Here is a 13,111-nt window from a genome sequence, read left to right as displayed (position 1 = left end):
ATGCAAGGTCTCCTGATGGCAGAAAACCTTATAACGTAAGATATGTGCTTGACAGAAAGATTGTTGGTGGATTTCTAAACCCCTAATGCCATACATTGTATTTTATGAATTCAATATCAAATGCTATATTTGGATTATGGATTGCATAAAGGCCTGAACCTTCAGTAGGCACAGTATCTTGTAGTTGAACGTAGCAGGCTCAGAATAGAGATAAATAATAAAGGAATTCCACTGCTTCAAAAAGTAGTTTAAGAAACTGTACATTGAAAAAGTATGATGAAGAAGTATTTTATGTTGGTTCAAATGATATAGAAATGGAAGTATTGTCTTTTTAAAATTGATTTGCATAGAAAACACACTCAAATACCCTAACAGGGCCTTCAAAAGTAATTTTCATTAATGTTAATGAAAATAAGATTTCCTTTTTGAGTATTTTATAATGAAACTCTCATTTAAAAAAAAATTTAGAAAAATAACTAGGCCAAATTTAAGTTGGGATATCACTTAAATAATTAAGTTTACATTTTGATTAACCAAAATAACTAGAATCTATCATTCTTACTCTATTATAAAGTTTTATCTTAATTTTCATAAGGAAAAAATTACTTGAAAAAGCAATTTATTCATTTTCTTGGCTTCCATCTAAGTTATTATTATTATTAACGAATTTTTTTTTTTTTTTGAGATGGAGTCTCACTCTGTTGCGCAGGCTAGAGTGCAGTGGCGCGATCTCCGCTCACTGCAAGCTCCGCTTCCCAGATTCACACCATTCTCCTGCCTCAGCCTCTCTAGTAGCTGGGACTACAGGTGCCTGCCACCACGCCCGGCTAATGTTTTGTATTTTTAGCAGAGACGGGGTTACTCCGTGTTAGCCAGGATGGTCTCGATCTCCTGACCTCGTGATCCACCTGCCTTGGCCTCCCAAAGTGCTGGGATTCTGTAATCCCAGTGAGCCACCGCGCCTGGCCCATGTAAGTTATTAATGTCATAATGTTTTTTTTAATATTGCATGTATACATTATCTTCTGTCTCATGACAAATTTTATAAAAGTTGATTAATTTCAATGAAATTTGATAGAGTCCTGAGACATGGAGCTTTAACTTTTATAGATTTGTGTTTCATACTGACACCTTGAATCAAAATCATTTTCAATTTTTTAAATTAAATAATCTCTTACATTGTAAGTTGTGGCACAACATTTGGAATATATAGATAATATTACATCTGTGAAAAAATACATTCTTTATTCCAAGTAGATAACTTAATCGTTTTGTGGGGCCATTTGCCATTCACTGGAAAATTGAGGTCAGGAATTTGTGCAAGTATAAATGAAAAAAGGCTGAGGTTTTTTTGTTTTGTTTTGTTTTTGTTTTTGAAGACGGAATCTTGCTCTGTTGCCAGGCTGGAGTGCACTGGCACAATCTCAGCTCACTGCAACTTCCACTTCCTAGGTTCAAGTGATTCTCCTGCCTCAGCCTCCTGAGTAGCTGGGACTACAGGCACCCACAAGCACACTTGGCTACTTTTTTGTATTTTTAGTAGAAACGGGGTTTCACCATGTTGGCCAGGTTGGTCTTCATCTCTTGACCTCGTGATCTGCCCACCTCGGCCTCCCAAAGTGCTGGGATTGCAGGTGTGAGCCACCGTGCCTGGCCAGGCTGAGTTTTATACAGTGTTTCTGCAAGTCATCTGTGAAGATAATATGTAAGCTTAATAATTCTAAATATTTGAGAGAGTAAGTGCATCTCATTTTAGTTTTTAAACGCCATAGCCACCAAGCATTAGTTATAGGAAGACTGTATAGTTCAAAGCAATATTTCAAAGACCTCTAACAGGAGTGAAAATTGCATAATTCACTTGTATGTCCTTATCCATCCCTTTTCTAAATAAAAATGCTCTACTACCTGGTCCAGGGTCTTTGATTCCATAGCATAGTGGGAAGCAGGCACTAAACTGCTAAATTCTAACACCATCTGTATGACCTAAATCCTAAGAGATATATTGTTTCTGCTGCCAATGCCAGAATCAACCTCAGCTGCCAACGCCAGAATCAACCTCAGCTGCCAAATGCTAGACTGAAAAAAGAATGTAAACAGCTTGATGGAGGGGAGGATCCTGGTGCACCTGTGGTTTTGACAGCTTTTGCTGCTGCTTGAGGAGGAAACAGGTTGCCTGTTTGTTCTTCAAGAGCACTTCTGGCATCCAGGTATTATGCAGGCATGCACTGCCAGCTGTGAAAGATGCCGCTTCCTTGTCACTTCAGAGAATGATGCTTCTACAGAAGATCCCTCTTGCTATTTCATTCAGGGAGCTCGGGAGAGGAAGACAAAAAGAATCAAATGCAAAGCACAGATCATTGAAAGGGCCAGGGTCTGAAGTGAGACAACTCGTGTCACAGTGTTTTCAAACTTGAGAATGGTACAGTAAATTAGAATGACTTAATTGTAGTGATTTTAAAAAGATATGAGTCCTCTAATGGATGGATTAAAGAAAAGAATAGCAAGAAAATGCACATATACCAAATTTTGACTGCCCGTGTGTTTATACAGCCAATGTTCTGTTCTGGTCAAGAAGAAAAGTAAGTAAGATAACCTGTTTATGTCAAGACATCACAGATGAGAAAAAATAGAATATTAAATCATTGAGTCAACTTCATAACTGAAAGTTTTTAACTGAAATATATATGCTTCACAGATAATCTAACAATGTTGCATGTATTATTTATCTTATGCTTACATTAAATACGTATATACCCTAAGGAAGATTTCAAAAATGAAAGTTTTGAAACATGTTTCCTATCAATTATTAAACTTATTATAAAACTTCAATAGTTAAAATAATATGGTTTAATTGATATAATGAATCAGTAGAAGAGATATCAAACCTAAGACTCAAGAGTATGAGAATGTCATGTAGATAAAAAGGACATTTCAAATTAGTGGAAAAAGTGAATTATTCTATAAATTCTGTGAGTCAGTTGGATAACTGTTAGGAAAAGAGAAAACCTAGATCCCTACCTCATTTTTATTAAACTAAGTACCTTATATTAGGCTAAAGTAAAGATAGGTGAAAGACTAAAATATACAAATTAAATATAATCACAATAAAATTGAGAAGAAAGCATAAGTAAATATTTAAAAAACTTGAGTAACAAAGCTCATTTCAATAACGCCATAAAATTGGAAACAGCTCAGGAAAAGATTTATCAATATAATTACATAAACTCATAGAACTTTTTAAAGACAAAAAGCAGCCTATGGTAAATTTGAAAGAAAATGAAAATTAATAGAATTACTTTTAATAGTGTCATTGTTAAAGCATTCATATTTTAATATATAAAAGCTCTTCAAAATCAGTAAGGATTAAAAAATTGGTGATCATAATAAAAAAAGGCAAGGGATTTGAAATAGGCAATAGACAAAAGAGGAAACGTAAGTGGCTGGTAAACATAGATGATAGATAAATGGATGAATAAGTAATTAGGTAGCATGTGGATGCGTGGGGTAGGGGAGGGAATGAAAGGGAAAAAGAGGGAAGACAAGGGAAGAAGGGAGGAAAATCAAAAGGGAAGGGGACAAGAAAAGAAAAAAAAATTATACCATTATTCACTTAACAAATTGGAAAAAGATTTGGAGAATGGACCACTCTTGTGAACTAATATACAATATATTTTAATGTTAATTGTGCATAGATTTGACCCAGCAGTCTCAGTTCTGGAAAGTTACTCTAGCTAATATTATAGCTATAAAAATATTCACAGCAGAATGCTTTATAGTAGAAATTATAATAAAGAAAACAACTTAAATATTCATCAAGATATTATTTAATTGAATAATGGTTCTTATTATAATTGGATTTTATAGTTCCACTCAAATAATGATGTAGAATTAATTTATTTGAAAACATGCCCAGAACATATTGTTGAGTGGAAAAAAATGAAGTTGCAGAACAGAATATAAGGTATTTTTCTAGTTATATATCCTTATGTATTTATATTAATAAAACACCTAAAAGGATTGTTACCAAACAACATCAATAGTGACTATTTCTAGGTGGTAGCATTTGAGGTAATACATCGTTTTACACTGGTACATTTTTGGTATTATGTGACTTTTTCTATTAGAGTATACCATTGTTACAAAATGAATAAAAGTTGTTTTCAAAAGATAAAAAGCATTTTGCTAATTTTAATTTTTATTTGCTTCTTTTAAATATTTTTAATCATTGTACTTTTTACCTTGAGTAAAATGAGATGAATGTCTATGCATTTTTATTCTAGCAACATTTTATCTGGAATTATGTAGCCTGAAGGGAAAGCTCCATACCCTTATCTTTCTGTATTTACTGATTGTTCATTCTTGGTATATTTGGCATTTTATTTAATCTATAATTCAAATATACTCAGCATATCTCATAAGATTTGATGGTCTAGTTTATAATTACTTTCATTATTGTAAAATCTTGATTTTTGTAGGTCAATAAATAGGGTTAAAAATAAATGATTTGCAACCTCTTCTTTACAACAGCTCAAAATGCCTCCATTTCATTTTGAACACATCTCAATATCCACATAAAGGCTCTAAACAAAATTAAGTTTAATTCACTCTAAAGGAAAGCACTTCTACAGACCGTTTTAAAGAGGAGGGTAACCAATTTAAATAAATTATCAGATACTCATTTTATACAGATGAGTGCTGCTAATTACAATCAGTCTCATCTATTCCTTAAAACTAGTCCAACAAGCATGGATAAACTTCGTCAGCAGTTAGTCACTTCATTTATTTGAAAACCTTAAAACAACATGTCTTTAAAGATATTATATATTTTAGAACTTTTACTAATTTAGACTATTTTGGAGGCATCCCCGAATAACGGGGTTTTACAAAAATTCTGATTTTTACATGCTTCTTCTCATTTGATATGTTTAGTCTTTAAGCATTTTCAGTATTTTCCGGTCTACATACACTAACCTCTCTATATATTCGACCTTTAAGTCCTCAGTTGTTTCAAGTTATTAAATAGTAGTCTACCCTCAGCTATGTGTACTAGGAAAATCATCCCATCCTTCTTGCATTGTTTAATTTACTGTAATTTGTATCTTATTTGACTGTCTGAAGGTGGTGTCATCTAAAGTATCATCTCCATCCCATTTCTTACTTGGCTTGTGATGGAAGAACCAAACCAAATTGGACTAACACTTACACAATCTATAGGTTTTATAATCTATATAATCCACCTGTCCTACTTTCCTAAATTGATAATAGAAAACCCTGTACTGGTTCTTTTTTAAAAATATTTATTGTTGTCATAATTGTCATTTTTCTAAAAACTTGCATAAGCTGTTGTAAGCAGAGCAAATGGTCTGTTTATTCTTTCAGTACTTTTGATTGACTATGACTTGGCTGATATTATATTCTTTATATACACTGCTTGCTATAACAAGCCCACCCACATAAGAAACGTGCTGAGGAATTATCAATCAGAGGGATATATGTCTGTCATCTTAGATAATAGCCTAAACTTTCCACCACCTGCCCCTTTTTATAAATTTTCAAGAGCTATGATTTTGTTAGAAGATAAGCTAAGTGGACGTGATTGTACGATACTTGAATAAACTAAGTTACACAGAAAACATTTCTATTGTGTTTCTATCTACAGTATTTAGCACAGTGCCTCTAACATTATAGATACTCTCTAAATAGGTGTTGATCAAATAGATGTGTTTTACTTATGAAATTTGATAAAGATAGCCTGAAAGTGTAGGAATGTTCTTCTCAGTTATAGTTTAAGTAGTCAGGATAACAGCCACAACAGAGGACCATTCTAGAACCAGAGCTATCCGATGTTTACCAGCAGCAACACTGTAAATTTCAAAACTTGAGGATTCCTTGGGAATTCTTTTATCGACTTAGCAATTAATTTAAATCTACTGTAATTAATTTCTGAGAAACCTGCAAAAGCCTATTAGCTGGTATTTATAAACCAACTGATACTAACCTGGGAGAACCGATTGGAATAAATCAGTGTGTATCAGCTAGATATGCTGCCCTGGCATCTAGCCAAATAGAAACAGACTATTTCCAAGTTTCAGAAAATATAATTAAATTCAGCTTGAAATGCATCTAAAAGTCATTGGCTGATGTACTGGCCCATGGAAATAAATAATTACATATTGTATTAATAGAGTATCTATTTACCAGGAGTTCAAAGCACTGTTTTAACAAGCATATATTCATAATATTCTTGTAAACTAGAAAGGAGGTGCATGTTTTCTATATAATTATTTTCCCAAAAATAGTACTTTGTGAAAAGTCATTGGCAGATCAAGAGATATTCATTCTCTTTTGATTTATGGTTCAATATTGTCCCCAGTTGAACATATCACCCAGTACCTCATCATCAGTAGGACTGTGATTTTAACTTTCTTCTTAAAAAGCAAGTGGCTTCTTGCAAACAGATGATACCAATTTCCTTTCTAGCACTTTCTATAATACGCCTATTCTAAAAGGCTTAGCCTCTGCCTGAGGTATGACCACAATGTCTTCTAGCAAACCCAAGGCTCCATTGCTTCTAATCTGAAAACACATAGTGCAAATTTACCTCCCTTCCTCTTCACTACACTGTTCTCCTTCAGCTTTATTACCTCTGCCAATACACACTCATACATAGAAGGAAGCCTAACATTCATACAATGTGGGTCCTTCCCTAGGTCTGAGGTTAGAATCATGTTCTCTTCCTTTCATATTAAACTACTTGTTACCTGTTTGGACTTCTGTTGACTTTCTTCAACATGCAATCTACTTGACTACTTGGATTCATAATATGCACTTACTTCTCCTTACATTCGAAAATTGTAATTTTCAAAATCTGCCTATCCACCACTAAGATAACTCAATAAATAAACTATATAGTCCACTCCCACCACCCCCCATCCCATGCCAAGACCTGCTAGAGAGACAGAGAGAGAGAGCTCCTTGAGAGTTTTGCATCCTTAGCATAGGCTGCCCTGGTCATTCTCTCTGCTTGCAGGTGACCTTGCTACATTTTCAGCCTGCTCCTTTAGTATCCATCAAGAACCCCCATCCTTAACTAGACTCTTGCCCTGACTCATCTTGGGATTCAGTTAAATCATTATCTAAACACTAACATGGCCCCTCAAAAATGTAGGAACATCATTTACCCCTGTAGCTGCTCACAATAGCTAATAAGCTTTTGCTATAAAGAGACAGGAGACAGAATGTTATAAGTTAGTGGAATGTAGTGAGTACAGAAATACTTATGTTCAAGAATTCCAAGATAGATAGATAGATAGATAGATAGATAGATAGATAGATAGATAGATAGATAGATAGATAAAATAAAAATTTATAGATCTCAGGTAAAGGGGAAGCAATGCTATATGCAATATTATTTTTGAACCTGACCTTGGCTTCAGCTGAAAACGGTATATTGTATACTGTGGGCAATATAAGCATAATTAGAAACCAGTTTAATTTTTTAAAATTCATTGAATGTAACATCCACTTTTCTGTGCTCTTTGATTTTCAACAATGTGCATGTATTACCTTTATAACATTAAACTTAATGTTTAAAATATGCAGTGAAAATAGAAACAAAAATTAAGTAATTATTAGAGAAATTTATTCTTCATTAGAGCTCCTTATTTAAATAAGTGAAACTATGAAACCATTCTTAATATATCTGCCTAATAACTAGCCCTAACTTATATATATCTGCCTAATAACTGCCCTAACTTAGCAAGGATGTACTTCTCAGATAATCTCATGAAGGCCGTGGGAAACCGAGAAAGATGATGATGATAAATTAATACCCTCAAAATTTTCCATTAATGTATGTGAATATATATCTAAATGTTGGTGTGAAACGTCAATGGTTATGTGTTTTCCTTCTCCTTTCATTTGCAGAAGAGAAGAAAGGAAATTTGGTTTGATGTTATCAGTTTTGATTTGCTAACCCAAAAGGTCCAGAATAAAGAACAAATCATTATAAATTCCTGGCATTGCAATCATTGTGGAAAATGCTGATTTGGTTCTATTAACTCACTAATTCAATTAAAAGGAGACTAGCAAAAATCATCTTAGGAGAGATTCTGAACTCTTTACTTAAAAACTACTGTATAACCTCAGGGTTTTGCTGAAGTGGGTATTGTAGGTCGAGGAGTCTCTGATAATCTTCTGCAATTATACTTTGCTAAATGAGCAGAACTGCAGTTCAGGTAGGAAAGGTCTATGAATTCCTGGCGTCTTGGAAGAAGCCTTTTGGCCATTTGGGTGTTTTATGTAAATGTAGTTCTTTCTGGAGCTTGAGGAACTGAGCTAAGCTTAGGAGGAATCATAGACAAAGAGCAAGAAATCCCCAGGCCCCTTCAAACAGTTCTGCTTTGTCTGCAGCCTAGTTATAAGCGCTACCATTCTTTCCTTCCCTCACTCTAACACTTCACTCTAAAATGTGTCCTTTACAGTTACTGGGATCTTAATATGTGCCAGGAATTGCTTCAAAGCTTCCATGTACTAACTCCTTTCGTCTTTACAATGATGAGGCAAAAACATATTAAGTAGCCTGACCAAGGTTAAATAGCGAGTAATAGGCAGAATGAAGACTAGGACTGCAGAGCCCACTCTCCTCTACTCCTAGTGTGTTTTCATCCAATCATGAAAACTACAAACTGCTCACTGAGGGCAGACAGCAGCTTGGATTAGATTAGCTACATTGAATTTCATGGGATACTCTTTTAAAATAGTTTTATATCATTTACTTTGTATTTTGTTTATCAAACCAAATTGGAAAACAATTGTATTACCCAGTGAACCTGCAAAGTTTAATTCTGCTAGAGAATAGAATTGGCCACTTGTGAGCTATGCCAACCCATTGATAATGACGAAAGTAAGCATTTTTGAGCCTTCTTGGCCTCTTTTACATCTCTTACCATCTAAATGGCAATTGGGTGTCTTGCTGAATCTTACCCAGCTGGCAATCTAAAGTCTTGGTTATAATTCAGAATTTTTGTCTGCCTGAGTGTAATTCAAATGCAGGGCCAGATATTCTCTTCAAAGCCAAGTTATGATTAATGCTGGAAGTATCTTCTATGGAAACATGACTGGGCTGGGAAGCCTGAGGTTTGAATTCTAAGGCTGGATCCACTCCCAATTCGTTCTGCGGTACTGGGTTAACACTTTTCATTTACTGAGTCTCAACTCCCACATATGTGGAAAGACAGTTTGAAGTAAATGATCTATAAGATTTCCTTGAGCTCCAAGACTCTATGATCCTCATAGAGTTCTTAATGAAAGAAAGAAAGAACCTATTATGTACATGGTGAAAAGACAATGGTATCATTTTCTAAGACTTATTTTTAGATGACTAGGAACAAGAGGGATAACCTAATTTCTAATATTTCAAAAAAATTATTAGGACTTCCACAATGTTAAGTTCCATCTTTCATTATATGTTTTAGCTTTTTCTTTAAAAAAAAAAAATCTCCCTAGAGAGAAAGGTAAAGACAGGAAAAGGAAGGAAAAGTTTAAGTGTCCTTATATATTAAGGCTCAAGAAACCAGTTGACACTGTTTTTGTGCACTTGAATAAAACAATTTCTGGTAACAAAGTAGAACCCTACCTGCAGCATTCCTTAGCTTGACTGTGAGAAAATACAGTAATTCCCTATGTCTCAAGAAAGATCTGGGTTGTTGCTGTTCACTAGGGACATGAATATTTGCAATGATGTGCAAGGGTGTGAAGGGCCTCCTCCGAGCCATTGAAAAACACACTTCATGTCCCTGAGGTGTCAGTTTTACTTACTGATTTTAAGGAGAGGAATTGCTATTTCTATATTAAAACAAATATGTAAACGTAAATATCTTAGGTAAGAAAAGAAGAATCACCTATTAATGGTGAAGAAACACATGAATATTAATAGATTACTATCCCTACAGCAGATGCTTCAGGTGACTACAGCCAGCTCCAGAGGTGAGTTTTCTCTCTTTTGCCTCTAGGATACTTAGAAGGAAAACTCTGAGTAGCAGTGGATGTCAGTATATAAAAGATGTATTGACATAGTTTGCAATATAAATAAAATTTGAAGCTTCTCTCTTATTATGAGATGTAGTTTGGCATCGTAAAAAAGCATTTTCTTTAGTGTCAGACAGAAGGAGATCAGACTAATGGGTCTGTCACCTACTAGATTTATAGACTGGGCAATTTGCTTCATTTTGCAGAGCCTCAGTTTCTTCATTTAGAAAAAAAGTGATAATAACTTAAAAAGGTTGTCAGGAGTATTAAATTAGATAACTTAGGTAAGGTACTTTGCTCAGTGCCTTTTATAGTAAAATTCTACAATACACATCTGTTTCTTTCCCTTTTCGTCCTTTTGCTTGGAACTGTAACAGTTCCATTTTAAATTATCTTAATTCTGACAAGTAAATGTCTTTAGGATTTATATACTTACAAGCTTTCAAAGGAAAAATCTGAAATGTTGATTAATTGCAAAGATGATATCAGAAACTTTTTGTTAAAGTAGCCAACTATTTTTGTGGATTTATTGCTTTTTACTTATATAACAATACTATTCATACATACCATGCAAATTACATATACGTATTCTGTCACTCACAGACATAGAATACAGTGCTAGAAGGAATTTCAAGATAAATCCAGACATCTAGGATACCCTAATATTGCCCAAGTTGCCTAATTATTAACTCAGGTCCCGTAACCCTTGCTTACTATTCAGGTTGCTTCCTTCTCTTTCTCTTCCTTTATTCCCTCCCTTTCCTCTTCTGTCTTCTCCCCTCTTTTCCTTTCCTATCTTTTTCTTCTTTTCTTCACAAATATGTATTAAGCACCTATTATGAATCCACCTCAGAAGATAGAAAAAGACTGGAAACCTTTATTGTCCTCAGAGAGCTCATAGGTCAGTGAAGAGAAAAGCAGACAAGTAAACCAAAAATAACGTCACCTTAAAGCGAGTACAAAATTATGTGCAAAGCACTGAGGGGCCACTAGGCATGATCCATCTTCACTCCCCAAAGGCCCTGGTTTCCAAATTCTTTCAGATGTAGACTGTACCGTATTTACAGTTTAGTTCACCTCTATGATTTCATTTATTCAAGGATCCATTGAATAGAGAATTATGCTAGACATTGCCATTTATTGGCACTCATGTTGGAAGTCTGTGTGTGTGTGTGTGTGTGTGTGTGTGTGTGTGTGTGTGTTAGGTGGACATGCTCTATTAAGAAGAACAAAGATTTTAGATACAGGGCTGCTTGGATAAGAAAAGTTTCGGCATGCCTGATTTCAAAATCAATATCAAAATTGCAGTCATTTCTCAAAAGACCGAAAAATAGAATGGAAAGAGGAGATAAAGGAACATGCAAGCAACAGAAGAAAACATGTAATCAGCTATTTTATACGAGAAAAAATGCATTTTGAATAAAATCAGCAACACTGGATGAAGATTACAGATGAATAATAGTTTTAATTTTGACTTATTCAAATTAGAAACATCTAGGGTTTATTCAGTTTTTATCAATTTTGATTTTTATTTACTAATTAAGTATAGTCTTGTTCACTTGACACAAAAGTCAGAGATCAAAGCTAATTATTCCACTGGGCATGTCTACTGTGCTATTTAGAGTATATCTAAATCAGTGACTATCAAACATTTAATATGCCTGAATGTACAAGAATCATCTAATCACATGGTTGTGTATGGGTAAAGGCACTAACATGGGGCCTTAGATCCATCTCACGCAGACTCATAAAGCGACAATAGTCACAATAGAGAGACTTAGCAATTTCCTTTGGGCAGTCCTGTGTGAAAACCATGGAAGTAGTTATCATAACACTGAGATGGATAGAAAGTGACTAAGAAAGCAATCGCCCATTTTCACAATGTTATGGTGATATGACTCCCTTTCTCTTGCCAGGTTCCAAAGATCTTAAAGATGTCCCAGAAAAGTTCTAGAGTACTATCAGATCTCACACTTTGCCTTGGAAGCTGTCATTCCCCTCCATTGGCCCCACAACTGCAGTATAATCTTCAGTGACAGGAGAAAATCGACCTTGTTTGTACAGAAGTCTCAGCAGGAATAGGCAGATGCCTGTTTTTGCTGCCAAGGATGGAGGATTGGAATGGGCCCATTATATATTTTGAGGCTTTGAAGAAAAGTCTCAGGATATGTTTTCCCATTAAAATACTGTTATAAACAATTAGATTTATAGGTTGTTTAAAATCTCATTTCAGCCAATTGTAGTTTTAAAAGTCATTTGTAATAGGCACGTCTATGGATGAAATTTATCTTCTCTCGTATATTGAAGTATTGTTATTTTAACTATACCCTAACTCTTCAGACTTGGGTAAGTCTCCTTTATTTATGCTTTTAATATTCCTCATAATTTTTTAGAGCACATACAGCAGTTTTATATTACATGGTTTCGTAAATATTTGTTGTCTTCTTCATTGGATCGTAAGCTCCTCAAGGCATAGTTCATGTCTCGTTTACTTGCCTTGTACCCTCAACCTCTGTCCCAGTCCCTAGCACATAGTGCCCATGCTACAAATTCCAGAATGAATGAAAGGATGAATAAAGGAGTGAGTGTTTACTATGATTAAGGGACTGGACTAGTTGTATATTAAAATGATAAATGTAAGACACATCATCTGCTTTCAAGAAGCATACAGTCTACCTTGAGCCAGGAGTGAAAGAAGGAGAACATATATTATAACTAGAATACAGGGCATAAATGTTATGTGATAAATCATAGGTGAAAATAAAGCAATATAGCAAGAGAAGACATTAGTTATTTATAGCATAATTTTAATGGGAAAATATACAAGTTTTGGAAACCTGATTTACAAACTGAATTTTGCAACATAATGTAAGTGGAAAAATGCTCACTTATGATTTAGGTATAACCCTTCTATAATGTTCATTCATTTCAAAACTGGTATAGAAATATATTGTTGGCTGGGTGTGTTGGCTCGTGCCTATAATCCCAACACTTTGGGAGGCCAAGACAGGTGGGTCATCTGTGGTCAGAAGTTCTAGACCACCCTGGCAAACATGGTGAAACCCTATTTCTATTAAAAATA

The 13,111-nt window shown here is 34.5% G+C and overlaps 1 long non-coding RNA gene across 1 annotated transcript; it reads left to right on the top strand.

The window, feature by feature from the left end:
- On the top strand, nt 1–12,233 carry LINC02024 (long intergenic non-protein coding RNA 2024). Its single transcript, NR_146652.1, has 4 exons — nt 1–35; nt 851–971; nt 9,954–9,987; nt 11,946–12,233. It is a non-coding gene; the product is annotated as a long intergenic non-protein coding RNA 2024 (long non-coding RNA).
- Nucleotides 12,234–13,111: the final 878 nt, after the last annotated feature.

The sequence above is a fragment of the Homo sapiens genome, chromosome 3 (genome assembly GCF_000001405.40).
Source record: "Homo sapiens chromosome 3, GRCh38.p14 Primary Assembly".
NCBI classification, from domain to species: domain Eukaryota; kingdom Metazoa; phylum Chordata; class Mammalia; order Primates; family Hominidae; genus Homo; species Homo sapiens.
The sequence above is the reverse complement of the archived record's forward strand: the minus strand, read 5'-3'. Positions and strand labels throughout refer to the sequence as shown.